General features: G+C 59.7%; 1 protein-coding gene across 2 annotated transcripts in view, besides 2 other annotated features; it reads right to left on the reverse strand.

Annotated features, from left to right (window-relative positions):
• Nucleotides 1–16,660, reverse strand: part of WNT7B (Wnt family member 7B) — a 56,797-nt gene that overhangs the window by 31,306 nt on the left and 8,831 nt on the right. The window lies entirely within an intron of this gene.
• Nucleotides 11,258–11,758: an enhancer, noted in NCBI's record as "H3K4me1 hESC enhancer chr22:46358809-46359309 (GRCh37/hg19 assembly coordinates)". NCBI's record gives its function as "activates a minimal SCP1, AML or CMV promoter by ChIP-STARR-seq in naive H9 embryonic stem cells {active_cell/tissue: H9 hESC(naive)}" and the evidence as "EXISTENCE:reporter gene assay evidence [ECO:0000049][PMID:30033119]".
• Nucleotides 15,312–16,208: an enhancer, noted in NCBI's record as "H3K27ac-H3K4me1 hESC enhancer chr22:46362863-46363759 (GRCh37/hg19 assembly coordinates)". NCBI's record gives its function as "activates a minimal SCP1, AML or CMV promoter by ChIP-STARR-seq in naive H9 embryonic stem cells {active_cell/tissue: H9 hESC(naive)}" and the evidence as "EXISTENCE:reporter gene assay evidence [ECO:0000049][PMID:30033119]".

Here is a 16,660-nt window from a genome sequence, read left to right on the forward strand (position 1 = left end):
AGCGTCGTGTTTTCAAGGGTCATCCACGTGGTCACAGGTCAGTGCTTCATGCGTTTGTAAGGCTGAGTGATATTCCATTGTGTGGACAGACCATATTTTGTGTATCCATTCATGGCTGGGCATTTCGGCTGCTTCCACCTTTGGACTACTGTGAGTGATGCCGCCATGAACGTGCGGGTAAGGTTTCTGTTTGAGCCTGTTTTCAGTCTCTGGGGCATGGACCTATGAGTTGCTGGGTCAGGTGGTCCCTTCGCTTTCTGAGGACTTGCCGGACTGCCCTCCACAGCGGCTGCCCCAGTCATCTGGCTTTAAGCACCCATGGAAGGGGCAGTGAGCTGGAAGGAGGGGGGCGGCTGGTTTCAGGCAGACCCGCAGGCAACAGTGGGTTTCAGCACAGCGCTTGGCTTCAAAACAACAGATCAGGCCTGTTTAGTGAGGGGGCAAGATGTGGGAGTTGGGGGGACCGCCGGGGGCTCCCCGAAGCTGATGCCCATGGCCCTGGGCCCCTAGTGTGCTGGGGACCCTTCTTCTACCTACTGCCCGCCCGCCCTTTTCTTGAGGGAAATAAGTCAGTGATTTTCCAGGGCGGCCGAGCACCCACAGCCAGCTGGAAAGTCCCCGTGCGGCCTGAGCCCACAGCACGTGCTGCAGCCGGGCTGCCAGGGTGACACTCAATCCCCGAGGCCCGCCCGGCCCGCCCACTAATCTGGCCAAGACCTCCCTGGGTCTCCCATGGGCACAATGGGCAGAAAAGCCCCAGGCTGGCATGGAGGAAGAGCATCTGGATGGGTGGGGCTGGGAGCGGGCTGGAATCTGGGGAATTCAGCCCAAAGTAATTGTAGATCCTCGGAAAACCGAGCTGGGGAAATGAGATGGATGGGAACCCTGCCGGGCACCCTGTTTGCCGTGGGGCAGAGCCCGCCTCAGTCCCAGCCTGAGGGACACTCTCCAGTCCCAAATTCTCCCAGCAGGCTCAGGGCCGAGAAACCCCCATTATCTGCGGTAGGTGCCCTTGCTGGGGGGACCCTGATGGGACTTAGTGTGGACCCTGGGGGTGGCAATGGATCACTGCCATGGCCAAAGCCCTGGCTTCCCGCCACCAGCCAGCTGTCCACCACCGGCCCTGCCAGCACCCGGATCTGACCAAGTCCGTCTGCTCAAAGCCCATCCATAGCTCTCCATTGCCCAGGGGACCGTCCCAGCCCCTGTGCCTGGAACTAGAGGCCTCATGGGGTCTGGCCTCGGAAGACCCCGCCTCCCAGCTGTGTCTGCTGGTCCCTCCCCTGGCTGCTGCCCCTTCTCCGTTTTTCTGTCTGACATATTCCATTTCCCTTTCAGGGCCCAGGTGAAAGCCCCACTGTGCTCAAGCTCCTGATTCCCTGGCACTGAGGGGGAGCGCGGTGGGCACTGGTTTTGCGGGTGTAGAGCTCATTCTGCAGTCTCACAGTCACCGTGTCCGTGCCCGGCTTCCCCTCACAGCCACCGTGTCCGTGCCCGGCTTCCCCTCACAGCCACCGTGTCCGTGCCTGGCTTCCCCTCACAGTCACCGTGTCCTCGGCTTCCCCTCACAGTCACCGTGTCCTCGGCTTCCCCTCACAGTCACCGTGTCCTCGGCTTCCTCTCACAGTCACCACGTCCATGCCCCGCTTCCCCTCACAGTCACCATGTCCCCAGCTTCCCCTCACAGCCACCGTGTCCATGCCCCGCTTCCCCAGCAGACGGTCGGCCCCTCCAGGACAGTGTCAAGTCTGCGCTCAGCCAGGTCTCCGGGCTGCCGGGTGTGGCCATCCCGAGTGTTTGTGGAATAGATAAATGAGTAAATGAACAAGTCAGTACTTAAGAACCACATCTGAAAGAACTACAACTCAACAACAAAAAGACAAACAACCCAGTGTTACAATGAGCAAAGCGCTTGTAGACATTTCTACAAAGAAGATATACGCACCGCCAACAAGCTCTGGAGAAGACGCTCAACCTCAGTAATCACTGGGGAAGGGCAAACCAAAACCAAAATGAGATGCCACCTCACACCCACTAGGATGGCTATGATTTAAAAAAAAAAAAAAAAAGAAGAAGAAGAAGAAAGAAAAGAACAAGTGTTGCCAAGGATGTGGAGAAATTGAAACCCTCACACATTGACGATAGGAGCGGACAATGGTATAGCCACTGTAGACAATGGTTTGGCAGTTCCTCAATAAGTTCAACCTGGAGTCACCCAGGGATTCCACCCCTTGGCATAGATTCAAATGAACCGAAGACAGGTGTTTAGACTAAAGTTTGTACACAAATGATCACAGTAGCACTATTCACAATAGCCAAACGCTGGAAACAAACTCAATGCCTGTCAACAGCTGAGTGGATAAACCAAATGTGGTCCATCTATACAATGGAACATTATGTGGCCATAAAAACGAGCAAAGCACTGGGTCATGCCACGGCATGGAGGAACCTCAACAATACAATGTTACATGAAGGAAGCTAGACCCCAAAACCACGTACTGTGTGGTTCCATGGCTATGAAACGTCCGGAATAGGCAAATCCATCGAGATAGAAAGTAGAAAGGTGATTGCCAGGGCTGGGAAGGGGAACGGGGAACAGGGAGTGGCTGCCTAATGGGTATGGAATTTCCATCTGGGGTGATGGAAAGTTCTGGAACTGGGGGTAGTGATTGCACCACATTGTGAATGGACTAGATGCCACTGAATTGTTCACTTAAAAATAGTCAAAGTGGTAAATTTTATTTTACGTATTTTAACCACGATTTTAAAAAACTCTATCTATACACGGGACTTCTGCACCCCAGTGAAGATTAGGACCCAATTGAAGGGGATGCGAGAGGCCCACCCAGCCGACGCCCTGCTTGCCTTCTTGCACGCTTATCCGGGGTATGTGGGGCTGACAGAGCAGGGGGACTAGAGCCCCCAGCAGCCCCCTGCGTGCCCGTGCATGGGTTAAAGGGGAAGTAAAGGCATCAGGGAATAGAATACAGGCTCCTGCACTGTATTTTGTGCCAGGAGTATAAATAGTTAGATGTGGTTGATAATTCAGAAACAATTTCAAAATTGTCTCCCTTACTAAGTGGGGGTGTTTGTGTTCCCACTAAAAATACCAAGTGCTCCCATTCTGAGGGTTAACTCTGGGCCGTTGGGACCTCAGACCTCACCTATGTATCATTTAATCCTCACCTTGCTAGGTGAGTGGTGCCATCCTCATTTTGCAGGTGTGCAGATTAGAGCTCAGAGAGGCTAGGGGACCTGTCTGGCACTGCACAGCCAGGCTTGGAGCCCAGTCTCTGAATCCAGCACTCAGGTAGAAGAAGGAGTGCCACATAGTAAGTGTGGGACACACGCTGGAACATGGCCTGGAGCAGGCACTGTGTCGGCTTTTCATTCTCAAAACAGCTTAAGTTCTTCCTTTGCTTAAAATCCTTCAGGCTGTGCAGCAATTCATTCCAGGTGCACAGGCGGCTCCCATGCAGCTGCCATCCCTGCCCTCCCACTGCTGCCCCGGGCACTGTCCAGTCTGACCCCTGCCCTCCCCGAGCCGGCCTGGCCCTGCCACACCCCAGGCCTGGCCCATGCCATTCCTTCCACATGGAGGCGAGGGGGCTGGGGAGAGGGGTGACTGGGATGGGCCCTCCTTAGAGAATGGTCGGCATGGGAAGTGGGGGAAAAATATCTACCAACTATTTTTATAGCCAGTGATTTAGAGGAGGCCAGAGAGCCGTGCGGGTAGTGTGCTGGGGCCACTGGGGAGCGTGGGCCGGCCATGGGCACCCTCAGCAAACCCTGCGGGGCGGACCCAGCTTCGCTCCAAGTGTGAAAACTCTCAGGGATGGCTTCCTCATCCTCAGCTGCTTGCCTGGGTGCCCAGGGAAGGTTGGCCAGGAAGGCTCTGAGTGGCTGTGAGTGCAGAGATGCTGGGAGCGGGGGCATTCATGTTTCAGTCGCTGACCTTTTTCATGGAAAATTCTGCCCCCGGCTCATCCCCCTGCACTGAATGGGGCCTCGGGACAGGCGAGATGCCAGGTGGGATGGGCAGGTTGCAAGTCTGGAAAGTTTCCTTACCCCAGCCTGGGCCAGTCCACTGCAGGGAGGGCGCTTATGGGAGAAGAGTTTAGCCCTGCAGACAAGAAGCCTCCTCCTCATTCCCCAGGGACTGTGGACAAGGCCCTGCAGTCTCAGGCCAGAGGCCAGCAGAGGCCCAGGAGCTTCCTGAGGTGCATCCTGGCGCAGGCTTTGAGCCGGCCCCCTGTACAAGGAGGGGCTGCCGCCAGGTAGCGGGACGACCTTGGTCTTTGGCAGAACAGCCCCAAGGGAGTGGGGCTGCCTCCAGGAGGAGGTGGCTGCGGTGGGGGTGAGGGGCAGGTGAGGACACTCCAGCCCCTTCAACCACTGCCAGGTGACAGACGAGAGCAGGAGTGGACAGAAGGCAAGTCCCTGGCTGCAGGGTTAGCCAGGTACCAGGCCAGCCCCACAGCCCTGGGGTGCCTGAGTCTGCAAATTCCTAGCTGTGAGACTCAGGCAAGTTTCTTAACTGTGTCTCAGTTTCCTCCTCTGTCAGATGGGAGTGATAACAGCTCCCATCCATCTCAGAGCTGCTGGGAGGGCCTATCCTGTGGCGTCCACAGCACGGGCCGCTGGCCTGCAGTGACAGCCCTCATTATTAACCCTTGAAGGTTGAGACTGCAAGCTCATTACTGACCTCATTCACTAGACACACAATCTCCGACCCCCAGGATCCAGCCTCCCCCGGGAGATCAGGGACCAGCTTCATCTATGGGGCCCCAAGCCCGAGACCAGCAATTGTGAAGCTACTGGGTATCCGCGTCAGCCACTGCACCCACCACCGATGGGTCCACGCCCACATCAGCCCTTCCCTGCAACCCAGCAATCTCTCTCCTGTACCCAGGAAAAACCCGTGCATGTGATCACCCAAGGATACGCACATGGGTCTATAGCACAAATGGGAAACAATCCAGGCGTCTGTCAACAGGAGGATAGATAAAAAAAGTGTGGTCCATTCATGCAGCGTGACTACACGGTGAGGAAACTGCTGACACACGTCAACACGGATGGGCCTCACAGACATCATGGTGTGTGAAAGAAGCCAGGAAAGAGGATGTGTGGATTCCACCACTTCTGAAAATCCCCGGCCAGGCGCGGTGGCTCACGCCTGTAATCCCAGCACTTTGGGAGGCTGAGATGGGTGGATCATGAAGTCAGGAGATCGAGACCATCCTGGCCAACACGGTGAAGCCCCATCTCTACTAAAAATACAAAAATTAGCTGGGCGTGGTGGCGTGTGCCTGTAGTCCCAGCTACTCAGGAAGCTGAGGCAGGAGAATCGCTTGAACCAGGCAGTTGGAGGTTGCAGTGAGCCAAGATGGCACCACTGCACTCCAGCCTGGTGACAGAGCGAGACTCTGTCTCAAAAAAAAAAAAAAAAAAAAATCCCCAGGACAAGCCCACCTCATCTTGGAGACAGAAATCACAATAGTTACCCTTGGGTGGGTGGCACCAACTGAGAGTGAGCAGAGGGAGCCTGCCTGTATGCCACATGTATGTAAAAATGCATCAAGGTGTCCACTTGAGATTTCTGTGCTTTACATAAGTTATATCTCAGCATAAAAGTAAAGCATTATAGCATGTGACTTTATTGAAATGGGGCAATAACAAAGCAGGAATGGAAACTCCAGGCTTCTTACAATAATTAAAATACAGAAAACAGGCCGGGCACGGTGGCTCACACCTGTAATCCCAGCACTTTGGGAGGCCGAGGCGAGTGGGTCACCTAAGGTCAGGAGTTTGAGACCAGCCTAGCCAACATGGTGAAACTGTGTCTCTACTAAATATACAAGAATAAGCTAGGCATGGTGGTGCACGCCTGTGATCTCAGCTACTTGGGAGGCTGAGGAAGGAGAATTGCTTGAACCAGGAGGCGAAAGTTGCAGTGAGCCGAGATCATGCCACTGCACTCCAGCCTGCGTGAGGGAGCAAGACTCCGTCTCAAAAAAAAAAAAAAAAAAAAAAAAAAAAAACAGAAAACACGCTTCAAAATTCAAATGCCAACTTTACAAATCATGCCCGTGTGCTTTGTATGTGCCTAGCCCGCACGGGGGGTGCTAGCCCTTCCTGCACACACGCTCCATGGGGCTGCTGGGCTGGGCCAGCCACCGACCTAAGGCAGAGCTGGGCTGAGCCAGAATGCCCTGCCAGGGCTCCTCTGCCCCAGCCTGTGCCCATCAGCCAGCCTGTCCCCACCAGGCCCTCAGCCTCTCTGGACCCTGAATGCGGGCAACAGCCCACCGCAGCAGCTCCCACGCAGCGAGAAGGTTAAGTGCAGGAGACCTCAGGGAGTTGTAGGGGCTCATAGCCCTTGGTGGAGTGGCCTCCTGCTCTGCCCGTGCCCAGCCTGGCACTCAGGCGGTGGACAGAGTCACCCACATAGCCACCATCCTTCCTCCCAAAGGAGCAGGGCCCGTCAGCAGTGATGCGGAGGCCAGGAAGGAACAGGGTTGTGGGACGTGGCCCCTCTGGCTAAGACCCTCACCTGGGCGACACCGTCTCTGCCAAGGCCCAGCCTGGGGGCTCCCTCCTCCAACATTCTCAGGAGCTTTGGGGTGACCTGTCATCTTACTCTTGGGTACCCTGAGCCCAGGTGGCAGGGAGTGGGCAGCATCTCACCTGTGACCAGAATTAGAGCCACCCTGTCCTCTCCCCGACACCCCTGTTGTGTTCAGGAGTTTCTCCCGCTTCAAAGCCTCCCCCAGCAGGTAGGAGTCTAACCTAAATCCCTCATGCTGTCGGGGTCTTCAGTGGTTGAGGCACAGTGGACACCCACTCCATGCCTGACTGGCCTCAGAGTCCCCTCATGGTTGCTATTTCAAAGCTCGGGGGGCCAAGGGCTAGAATGGTGACAACAATCATGATTACTCTTCCCTCAGAACAGGAATCGGAGGTCCAGAAAAGTTCAGCAGCCTGCCTGGTAGCTCAGGAAGGCAGGGAGCGAGCACGGCTGGAACCCACCCCCACTGTCCCGGGGCTGGCCAGTGCCCTGTCATCAACCCTGCCCCTGGGACATACCCCATTCCTGACCCTCGAAGACAGCGGGGGCAGGATGGGCAGAGTATGGTCACTTGTCCTCCTGGAGAGCCACCCTCCCATGTAAGTCAGGGGCAGGAGGCTGCATCTGGGGCCAGGCTGTGTGGGGTGGGCCTTCCCTGAGGAGCTCTTGGAGAAGGAAGCCCCCCGACGGGCACCCAGCTGCAAGGAGTCTCTCAGGCTCCAGACTGAGTCACGGGCCCTCCCCGAACAGGTCCGAGCCCCCATAGCTGGGTCCAGGATGGCAGAACCCTGTCTTACTCCCCACGATATGCTGGGCCTGGTGCAAGGCCAGGCGTGGCAGAGCCTCAGCTGTCACCGCAGAATGAGTGAATGAATGGTGGGTGACGAGTGGCTGACAGACACATGCGGGAGACACTCTTCCCCGACAGAGGCCCCGCCTGTGCAGGCAGCAGGATGGGGCATCTGGGACACCCTCAGCAGGGCTGGGGCTGCAGGCTGGACAGGGGGTGGGCAGCAGCGCGGCCGTGGGCTGTCCCCTTGTCACTCAGACTGTGTAACAGGTCAGTCGAAACCAGCTTGCACCCCCACTTCACATAGGGTTGAGAAAATGCCCACGGTCCACGTCAGGGCCCTGCGTTTAAAACTGGGGGATGGGGTGGTGAGGATTATGAGGGTGAAACCACCCAAAGTCGCCCTCGAGAGGGCACAGCTCCCCGCCAGCAACAGGACAAGCTGTGTCTTTCTGGTGATGAAGCCTGGGAGAAGTCGGCTGTGCTATGACAAAGATGTGGGCTCGTGTCCCGAGGAGGCCTGGGAGCCAGGCACCTCCACCTCAGTATCCCGTTTCTCCTCCAAATTCCCAAAAACCGACCCCACAAACCACAGCCCAGCTCTGTTTTGCCAGTGGGGGTGCAAATGACCCCACAGCAGCAGAGACTCCTCCCACCTGGGTGGACCCCCGCTCTCCCGCCTCGCTCTGGACTGGACACCGGCTCCCAACCTGGCACCCAAGCAGCCCTAGTGCTGCCTACCCCACCCAGTTCAGGGTGGAAGTAGCCCCCTACCCCGCCACTGAAAGCATTCCCCAGAAGGACCGGGGCAGCTCTCCGTGGGGGAGACACGAGATCTGACTTCTTCCTGGAACCCAGCTGGAGCCTGCCCGGGCCTCAGCATCCCAGACCCCCCAGAGCCACAGGAGCCAGAAGCGGGAACCCTGGGGCCATCTGCCCTCCCCCGCAGATAACATGGACCTCTATCAAAAAGCTCATCAGAGATCAGAAAGGCTTTCCCCAGCATGCCCCGCTCTGCCCCCAGGGCACCCACCATCCTGCCCCTGGCATGGACCCACGCGCCACCCTGACACCAGCAGGATCATGGCCTCGGGGCCTGCCTGAGCCACCTCCCAGCCCCAGCCCAGGCTGCTTCTCCTTGGCCACTTTGGCCAGGTGGCCCCAGACCTGCCCCCTCAGCCCTCACTCTTGCCCACACCCGTTCCTCCTTCCTCGCATGCTGGCCCGCCCCCGACCTGCTGAGCTCTCCACTGCAGAGACCCCTCCTTGGGGAGGCACTCCCACCCACCAGCCCCCTCTGGGAGTGCCCAGACTCTGTGCTTGACCTCTCAGGCTGTCCTAAGGCCACTGTGTCAGCGGCAGACTCCCCAGGGCAGGGGTCCCCAGAATTGCCCAGCACCTGGCCAGGCCCTACGCTCACCTTGGTCATGAGCCACCCCACCCCCCCAGCTGAGGGAGCATGGGCAGCCCCCTCCCCAGCTCTCTGGGTGGCAGGGACAGGCTGGCTGAGCCTGGGCCTGATCTTCAGCCTCCCTCCCGGCCCCTGGCCCTGGCTGCCGGGCGGCCCTGGGCTCCTGCGGCCCACGCTTCTGGCCCGGGGCGCTTTGTAATTCTTCCTTCTCAGGCATCTTCTGGCAAAAATATCTGAAGAATGTTCCAATTATCTGTGATCAGCCAGGGAGGCGGGCCTGGGTCCACCCATCCAGGAAGTAAGTCAGCAGATACCCGGGAGGACAGCACCTGGCCTCCGTACCCACCCAGGGCCGAGTCCTCGCCAGCCTCTTCCTTAGGTGGGCAGAGGGTTGGCCCGGAACTTTCCATCCATATAGGGGCTCTTCTATGGCTTTGGAGCCAGCAGGGTTCCTTGGGGCTGAGTATGGGGCAGGGGCTGGTGGTGGCCTCAGTGTTCCTGCCTGTCAAATGGGGATAAGAATGTGGGCCAGGTCTGAGGTCATTCAGCAGACCCCATGAGCCACAGGCTGCAGACTGGCCAGATGGGTATCTACTCACCCAGAACAGAGCTCCACCTGCACCTGCCCCATAATGCCTGACCCCCACAGCAGCTCTGGCGCTGCCCTCAGAGGAGGCTGGAAGGGACGCATTGCAGCCCAGAGCTGGGCGCGCCGGTGAGAAGGAACCAGAGAGAATGAATAACAGGTCTGGGCTCAACAGCTGGTGCCCCGTCCTTTCTCAGGGCCCAGCTCCGTGGGGTGGAGGGGGGTGGGGCTTGGGCCAGGAGTTCCGCCCGGCCACCCCAAGGCTGTTCTGAGTCTCAGTTTTCCCATCTGAGAGCAGGGAACAATCACCTCTCCTTTGGCAAGTGGCAGGGGAGGCCCGGGAGGGGCCTTACACCTGTGGGGGAGGGACAGGCCCAAAGCGCTCCCCTTTCCAAGCAGGTTCATGGTGTGTGGGGCCCTGGAACCGTTTCCCACCCTGTCCCACCCTCTCCCCACTGTGGTTCCCCTGGCTGGTCCTTGCCAGCCTGACCTTACAGATGAGGAAACTGAGACTCAGAGACAGCAATCAGAAGAGAGCAGTGTGGGTGGGGGCCGGGGCAGTGCATCCTTAGAGGAGGCACAGGGAGCTGGGCAGGTGGGGGGTGGGCAAGGACGGGGCTGGGGAGAGCAGAGGGCTGACACCCCCAGGGCCCAGCTCAGGAATGAGGCCATCCCTCTGCTCCTCCCTGCCCCTCCCTGCCTCAGTTTCCCATCTGTGTAGTGAGGGGCTGAGGTGACAATCTGGGTACCTGCAGCTGTGTCCTAAAGAGGTTCGCTTGCTTGCTTGGGTTTGGGGTCCTGTGTTTGAGTTCTGCTCAGCCACTGGCTCTCGCTGGCCTCCCTGAGCCTCAGTTTGCCGGTCTGTTCAATAGGGAGAACTGGCCTGCTGGTGGGTGGGGCATCCTGCAGGCTGCACTCCACCACAGTCCCGCCTGCCACTCTTTCCACGCCACTGCTCTGCTCAGCTCTTGGCTCTCAGTGTTCCCAGGGAAGGGAGCAGAGCGTCCGCTTGCTCCCTCGCGCCCCCGGCGGGCGGCTGCCCTCCCACCCTCCCCACATAGCTGGCATTCCTGGCCTGGCAGCCTGGGACCCCACCCTGGAGAAGAACCAGACCGCCTGGGAAAAAGCTGGTGAAGAGCTGGGGGCCCCAGGCAGGGCTGAGGCCGCTGCAGGTGGATGAGCCACAGCCATGGGGTCCATTGCACCCCTGGCCAACACAAGGGGCCCGCAGCTAATGAGGTCAAGGGCAGACACTCCCAGCCACCATATCTGCTAAATCTGTGAAATGAGAGCCTCACCCACTCACTGTGACCTCCCAAACCACAGGACGCTGACCTCTGACTTCAGAACCTTCCAGATCTCTACCGGCACCCAGGGCCCACCAGGATGCACCAGGTGCTGGCCATACTGGACCAGCTCCTCCCCCTCCAGGGGCAGGTACCTTGCTCCCTCCAGCAGCCAGGCAAGATTCCAGACCCAGCTTAGTGCCTCCTCCTCCAAGAAGTCCACCAGGGTCTCTCTCAGTTCTCCCCTCTCCACTCCCTGCAGGATCACATCTGTGCTGGGCTCCTGAGGAAGCCGTTGGGACTGAAATTCAGCTATGCCCTTCCCCAGGTCTTACTCTGGCCCTTCTCTTTGCTTCCCACAGTACAGATGGGAACAGAAACACCCAGAGATGCCACAGCACCTGAGACCACACAGCTAGCTGAGACCCTAGCAAGGATGGGAGTCCCAGTCCTGGCCCTGGCCCTGATGCCACAGATCTGTTGGACGCAGGGGCGCCTTGCAGGCCTGGGTGACCAGGATGCCAACCTGAAACCTCAGGACAGATGGGTGGGTGGACAGACAGGTGGAACACGTTGGAGAGAGCTGGCAGGCCCCATTGGCCCATAGCCAGAATGGGAGTATGGACACTCTGCGGCTGGGCCAGCGCCTCGGCCTTCCTGGCTGCCCTGGACTTGGCTGAGCGGCAGGTCTGGGGGCCGAGCCACCACCTCTCTGCAGACTGCAAGACAGGGCTGAGCTCCCGGCCCTGGGACTCAGCCTCAGGCCGCAGTCCTGAAGGGTCCTCCTTCCAGGAACAGATGGGAGCCACGCCCAGTCCATGCCTGGGCCACACAGCATCTCAGACAGCATGTGAGCCAGAGCCAGGCCAGCCCCACACAGGTCATCTGCATTCTCCAAAGCAGGGGACCCATTCTGGGTCAGAAGTCCCCTATGCATAATTCCACATCCCCCTCACCTTTCAAGCAGCCCACTTTTCTGGAATGCTCCCTCCAAGAATTCCTAGGCCGCCACCGCCTCCTAGCCAACTGCTCAGCTTGGATGCCTTGTGGCCCAGAGTGCCCACTTCCCCAGGGGCAGCCTCCTCTGCCTCTCATCAGCCTGGCTGAGTGAGTGCTTATGGAGCCTTCAGAACTCCAGGGGCCTTGACTGAAGTGGCCCGAGGTCCTGAGTGCCGTCCCTGCCTTCCCCACGGCGAGCCCCCAGTTGGAGTTCATCATTCCCATTTTACAGAGGCGGCTTAGAGAGGAGCAGCATCTTGGGCCAGGCCACACAGCAACGTGGCAGTGGTTTGGTATCAGAGACAAGAGCAGGACCAGACCCTGTGGCTTTTCCCCCCACCTTTGGGCTCTGCCTCTTCCCACCCTCCCGTCTTCCCTGCCACAGGAATCTCCACCGTGGAAGGCGGTAAGTGGAAGCCCAGCTGGGCTCTGGGCTCACAGTCAGAGCTGGCTGCAAAGCCTGGCTCTCCCCAGACTCTGAAGGTAGGGGACCAGCCCCAGCCACCCTCCAAGGCTGCTCCAAAGCAGGGGACTCCCGCAACAGAGGGAGGCATCACACCGCACACCCTGCCTGGCTCCTAAAGATGCCAGAAGGAAATACAAGAGCACAATGGGGCGCCAGGTGACCCCCCGCACCTCCAGGAGCTGCAGCCTGGAGGGGAGCCCCCAGGCCACAAGCTGGGGAGGCAGGTTCTGAGAGAGAGCAGGTGCGGCCCATGTGCAATCTGCAGCCCTCAGCCCAGTGCCCCTCCCCAGGTGCAGGTCCACAGCAGCCCAGCCTGGCCACTTCAGGGACTGTGTCCCACAGGTCCCCAGGCCCTGTGTCCCTGTGTACTCTGGACTACTGCAGACATGGAGTGACTGCAGCCCGGAGCCACTGACTCCCTATCCGGTGCTCTCTCCACAACACCAGCCTGCCTGGCATCCAGGGATCCTGGGCCTGTCACCCCCAGGAACACTCCCTGAACACCCTGAGGCTCAGAAAGGTGTGCCCAACATGCGACTCCATCCCCAGGGCAGTGCTACCAAGGCGGGTGACAACCTTGCTGGAGCAGTGATGGGGCCGAACAAGCGCTTCAGCCCACAGGAGTGTGGCCCCTGCAGGCCAGCCCCCCCCAGGCTGAGGGGAGTCATGGGGCACACAGGAGGAGCCCCAGGAAATGGAGATGGCGGAGTGATGAATCTGCCTTCCTAGTGGGGGTGTCAGCCGCACCTGGAAATTCCCAACACTTCCCCGTCAGTGGTGAAGTCACCCTGGGAAGACCTGAGTCGGGGAGCCTGGAAGTCATCCAGCCCCGGGCCACCCACTCCCCCTTCCCACCTGTGCCACTAGGGGCCAAGCACGCCTGGGGCCACCACAGGCTCTGCCACCCCTGGGCAATCGGCCGTGACCTGGGAGTTCACGGGGCCCCAGACCCACAAGTGGCCATCAGACTGACAGATTTGCTGGGTACCGACTGAGTGAGGGCCTGGCACTGCCCTGAGCACTGAGGAGGAGGCAGGCAACCCTGCAACCCTAGACCTGGCCAAGCACACTCCCTTGGCACCGCTGCCACCAGATGGTCCTACAGACTCAGCCACCTCCTCTCCTCAGCCCTGGAGTGTCCCGGGCCCTGCATCTGCAGCTGGTGGGCAGGACCAGCCTCCTCCATGCCTCCCCATCCTCCACCTCATTGCCCAGAAGGGTCTTTCTAAAGCTCTGCTGAAGCCACTCCTCCCTGCCCTGGGCTCCCCAGACCCGAGATCACTGCCTCCGGCCCCGCCCCCACCTCACCTTCCCCTGCTCCAGCCCTACTCAAACCTGCTGCTCCCCACTCCTGATGCTGCCACATCCTCTTCACACCTCCAGGTCTTTGCCCACGTCTGTCCCTTTCCCAGGAACCCACCTTCCTTCCCTCCAGCAGGTCCTTCAGGGCCGAGGTCAGAGGCTGCCTTACTTGAGAGGTCTTCCCTGGGCCACCCTCATCACAGATGGCTTAGAGCTCCTGCTGTGGGTCCCACAGGGCTTTGTGTCAACGACGCTGGAAGGCAGGGCGGTAGGGACTTTCCTTCCCAGTCACACCTGCACACCTGGCCAGCCCTGATAACCCACCCGCGGGGGCTGCCGTCACGCTGTGGGCATGAAGGGAAAGTTCAGGGTGGTGGTGGAGCCAGCAGGAAGGGGAGGAGGGAGGAAGAGGACCTGGGGGAGCATCCAGACCCACCACCCAGATGGGGAAACTGAGGCCCAGAGAAGGGGAGGGATACCCTCAAGGTTGCCGCAAGCCCACAGCTGAGCCAGGAACAGGACCTGGGCATCCAGGACCACACACATGCTGACCCAACAAAGCTGGCCAGGCTGGTCTCAGAGCTCCTGGGTCAGGGGCGAAAGCAGGACAAGACCCAGAACAGAAGGCCTCTGGGCTTCCCATACCCGCAGGACAGCTGCACCTCTGGTCCCAAAGCTAAACTTGGAGGCAGCCCCTGCAACCTTGAGACCCTCGCTCAGGGCCCCGGGGACTCTTGGTCAACACACAGTTCTAAGCAACTGGAGGCATTGGTTTCTGCCTGGAGAGGACAGGCAGGAAACGGGACACGCAACAGAGCCCGCCCAAGGCTGGAAACCCGCCTTAGTAAAACACCGTGACAAGTGGCATGGACCCGACAGCCAGGAGTCCCTGGGCTCAAATCTGGGCTCAGCTGCTTGACCTGGGCGAGTGACTCTGCACCCTGACCTCGTCTTCCTCACTCCACCACCTACCAAGGCAGACGGGCCTCTCCTAGCTCCCCTTCTCTGGCAGCCCGAGGGGGACACAGATTCCAAAGCAGACCCTGGGCACTGTGCACACGTCAGTCCCACTAGGGAGGGCCTTCTGGGGGAAACTGAGTCCTCCAGAAGTGGGAATGCCTCATCCTGTGTCCCCCAGGCGGGGGTCTGCAGGGCAGGCAGTGCATTCTGGAGGACTTCCCAATTGGAAGGGGCTTTGCCATCTGTCTCACCACGTGGGACTGCGCGGGCCTAAGTCTCAGCTCTGGATGCCTCCTCACCCTGGCCACGCCAATACCCACTGCGCGGAGGCCAGCTGAGACACCACCAGTCCTTGTGCCCGGGCTCCCTCCGGCCTGGCCCATTCAGAGCTCCAACAGGGCACGGAAGGGTTGGAGCAGGGATCACAGTGCGGGAGGGCTCCAGAAAGCGATAGAGGCCTGCAGGGGTCATGGGATAGGACTCCAGGGGATGCTCACTCGGGCTCTTCTCCGTTGCTGCTGACACCCGGCAAGCTGCTCGTCGGGTGCGGTGGCTTCCTCCCAGGCCCAGCTCCAGGCACCTGCAGGCTTCACACTCTAAAGCTGCAAAGGCTGCTTGGGGGAGCAGGACGTTAGTGTCTTCTGCACACAGCCTCAGACCCAGCCTCGTGGCAGCTCCAGCACCTCAGCTGCCACCTGCTCCAGCCTGGGGATGGAGGAAGTGTCGATGGCCCTGTGCCAAGCCTCACTTGCCACTCTACTACTGAGACTGTGGGATGGCCTCTGGAAAGGCCAACCACTCCACCGGCTGCTTGCACAGAGAACCTGTGAGCGCTGCTTCTCTGCCCAGGCAGGGACCCTCCCCAGCATCCCCGGCCCTCACTCCTGCATCTGCTTGTATGCCTCCGGGGCTGGAGAACTCACTGCCTCTCTGCCAACAGTGGAGCTGACCCAAGCCTCAGGACCCACGCTCAGAGGACAAGAACGCCCTGGGTGAGGGGCAGGGATGGGGGAGGGGCCCCAGGCAGGCTGAGTGGGAAGACAAGGAAGGGGGGAGGGAGCGCACCTGTACCCACCCCCACCCTGCCGGCCAGCCTGAGGTGAGGCCCCCAGCCCTGCGCCAGGGACGGAGGACAAACGGTGGTTTTGTCCTTGGCCAGCGGGCGGCCCGCACCACACAATGACCCTTTCATCAGGCTGAAGGAGCCCTGGGCCGGGGTTTCATCTGACAAGGGAGGGCGCCCGGCCTCCTGTCCCTTTGGGAGGGGAGCTGAGCCCCATCTGAGCCGGACCCAAGGCTGTGTAGGGCGGCAGCCTTAGGAGCCTGCTACCGCCTCTCCATCTGCTGGGGATGACAGGGAGCAGTGTGAGCCGTGAGGGCTTGGGCTCCCACTGCATGTGGGTCCTAGTTCTGGGGCTCCCACTGCATGTGGCCCCTTCCAATTGGGAAGTCCTCCAGAATGCACTGGCTCCGCACCCTGGCCCTGGGCCGATGGCCTAGACACCCACAACCGAGCCCTCTACCTCATCCAACACCGCTATGCCACACCCAGGGTCTGTTAGGGTCCTCCGAGAACAGAGCCTTGGTCCACACCCAAGCAGGGGCCCTGGGCTCCCCATAGGCACCCACCTGCCCTGCCAGGGTGACTCAAGCCTCCGGGGATGTGGTGGGTGGGAGGGGAAGGGGCGGGAGTGTGACTTGCTTGGCCATTGTCCACTGTGTCCCCAGAGGAGCCCAGGGAAGTGTGTGAATGAGGGAACAATAATGTGCCGTCGGCGCCTCAAAAATCACCAACTTCATGATCATCACCTCGCCCCCCATCAGCACCTCCAACTGCTGGCTGGAGCCTGAGGCCCTGGGAGACCCTGATTCCACTCCCCGTGGGACTGCATAGGGGGAGCTTCCCTTCAGAGGCAGCGCGGGCACTGGGTGAGGAGCTGGAACTGGGAGGGCTGAACCCCTGGGATCCAAGGTGACCTTGGGAAACAGCCTCTTCTCTGGATCCTGGCATCCCATCGGCCCACCTCAGCAAGATGTTCTGAGCCTCCCTGGAGGGGAACCCCTGGTGAATGTGTTTGACAGTATTGTTCCCTCTTCTAGGGGTCTCTTTCATGTGCCTGTTTAGTCTGGCCAACTCCTATCCATCCTTCAAAACCCTGTCTGAGAGTCATCTCCTCTGGGAAGCCCTCTGAGATGCCCTAGGGGGTCCACCACTCCTTCCTGAATGAACACAGCCACTGGGCCTCCCTCTGTGCTGCCTGTGGCCAACCTCCCTGTTCCTGATAGCTGAGA

Source organism: Homo sapiens, chromosome 22 (genome assembly GCF_000001405.40).
Source record: "Homo sapiens chromosome 22, GRCh38.p14 Primary Assembly".
Lineage (NCBI taxonomy): Eukaryota > Metazoa > Chordata > Mammalia > Primates > Hominidae > Homo > Homo sapiens.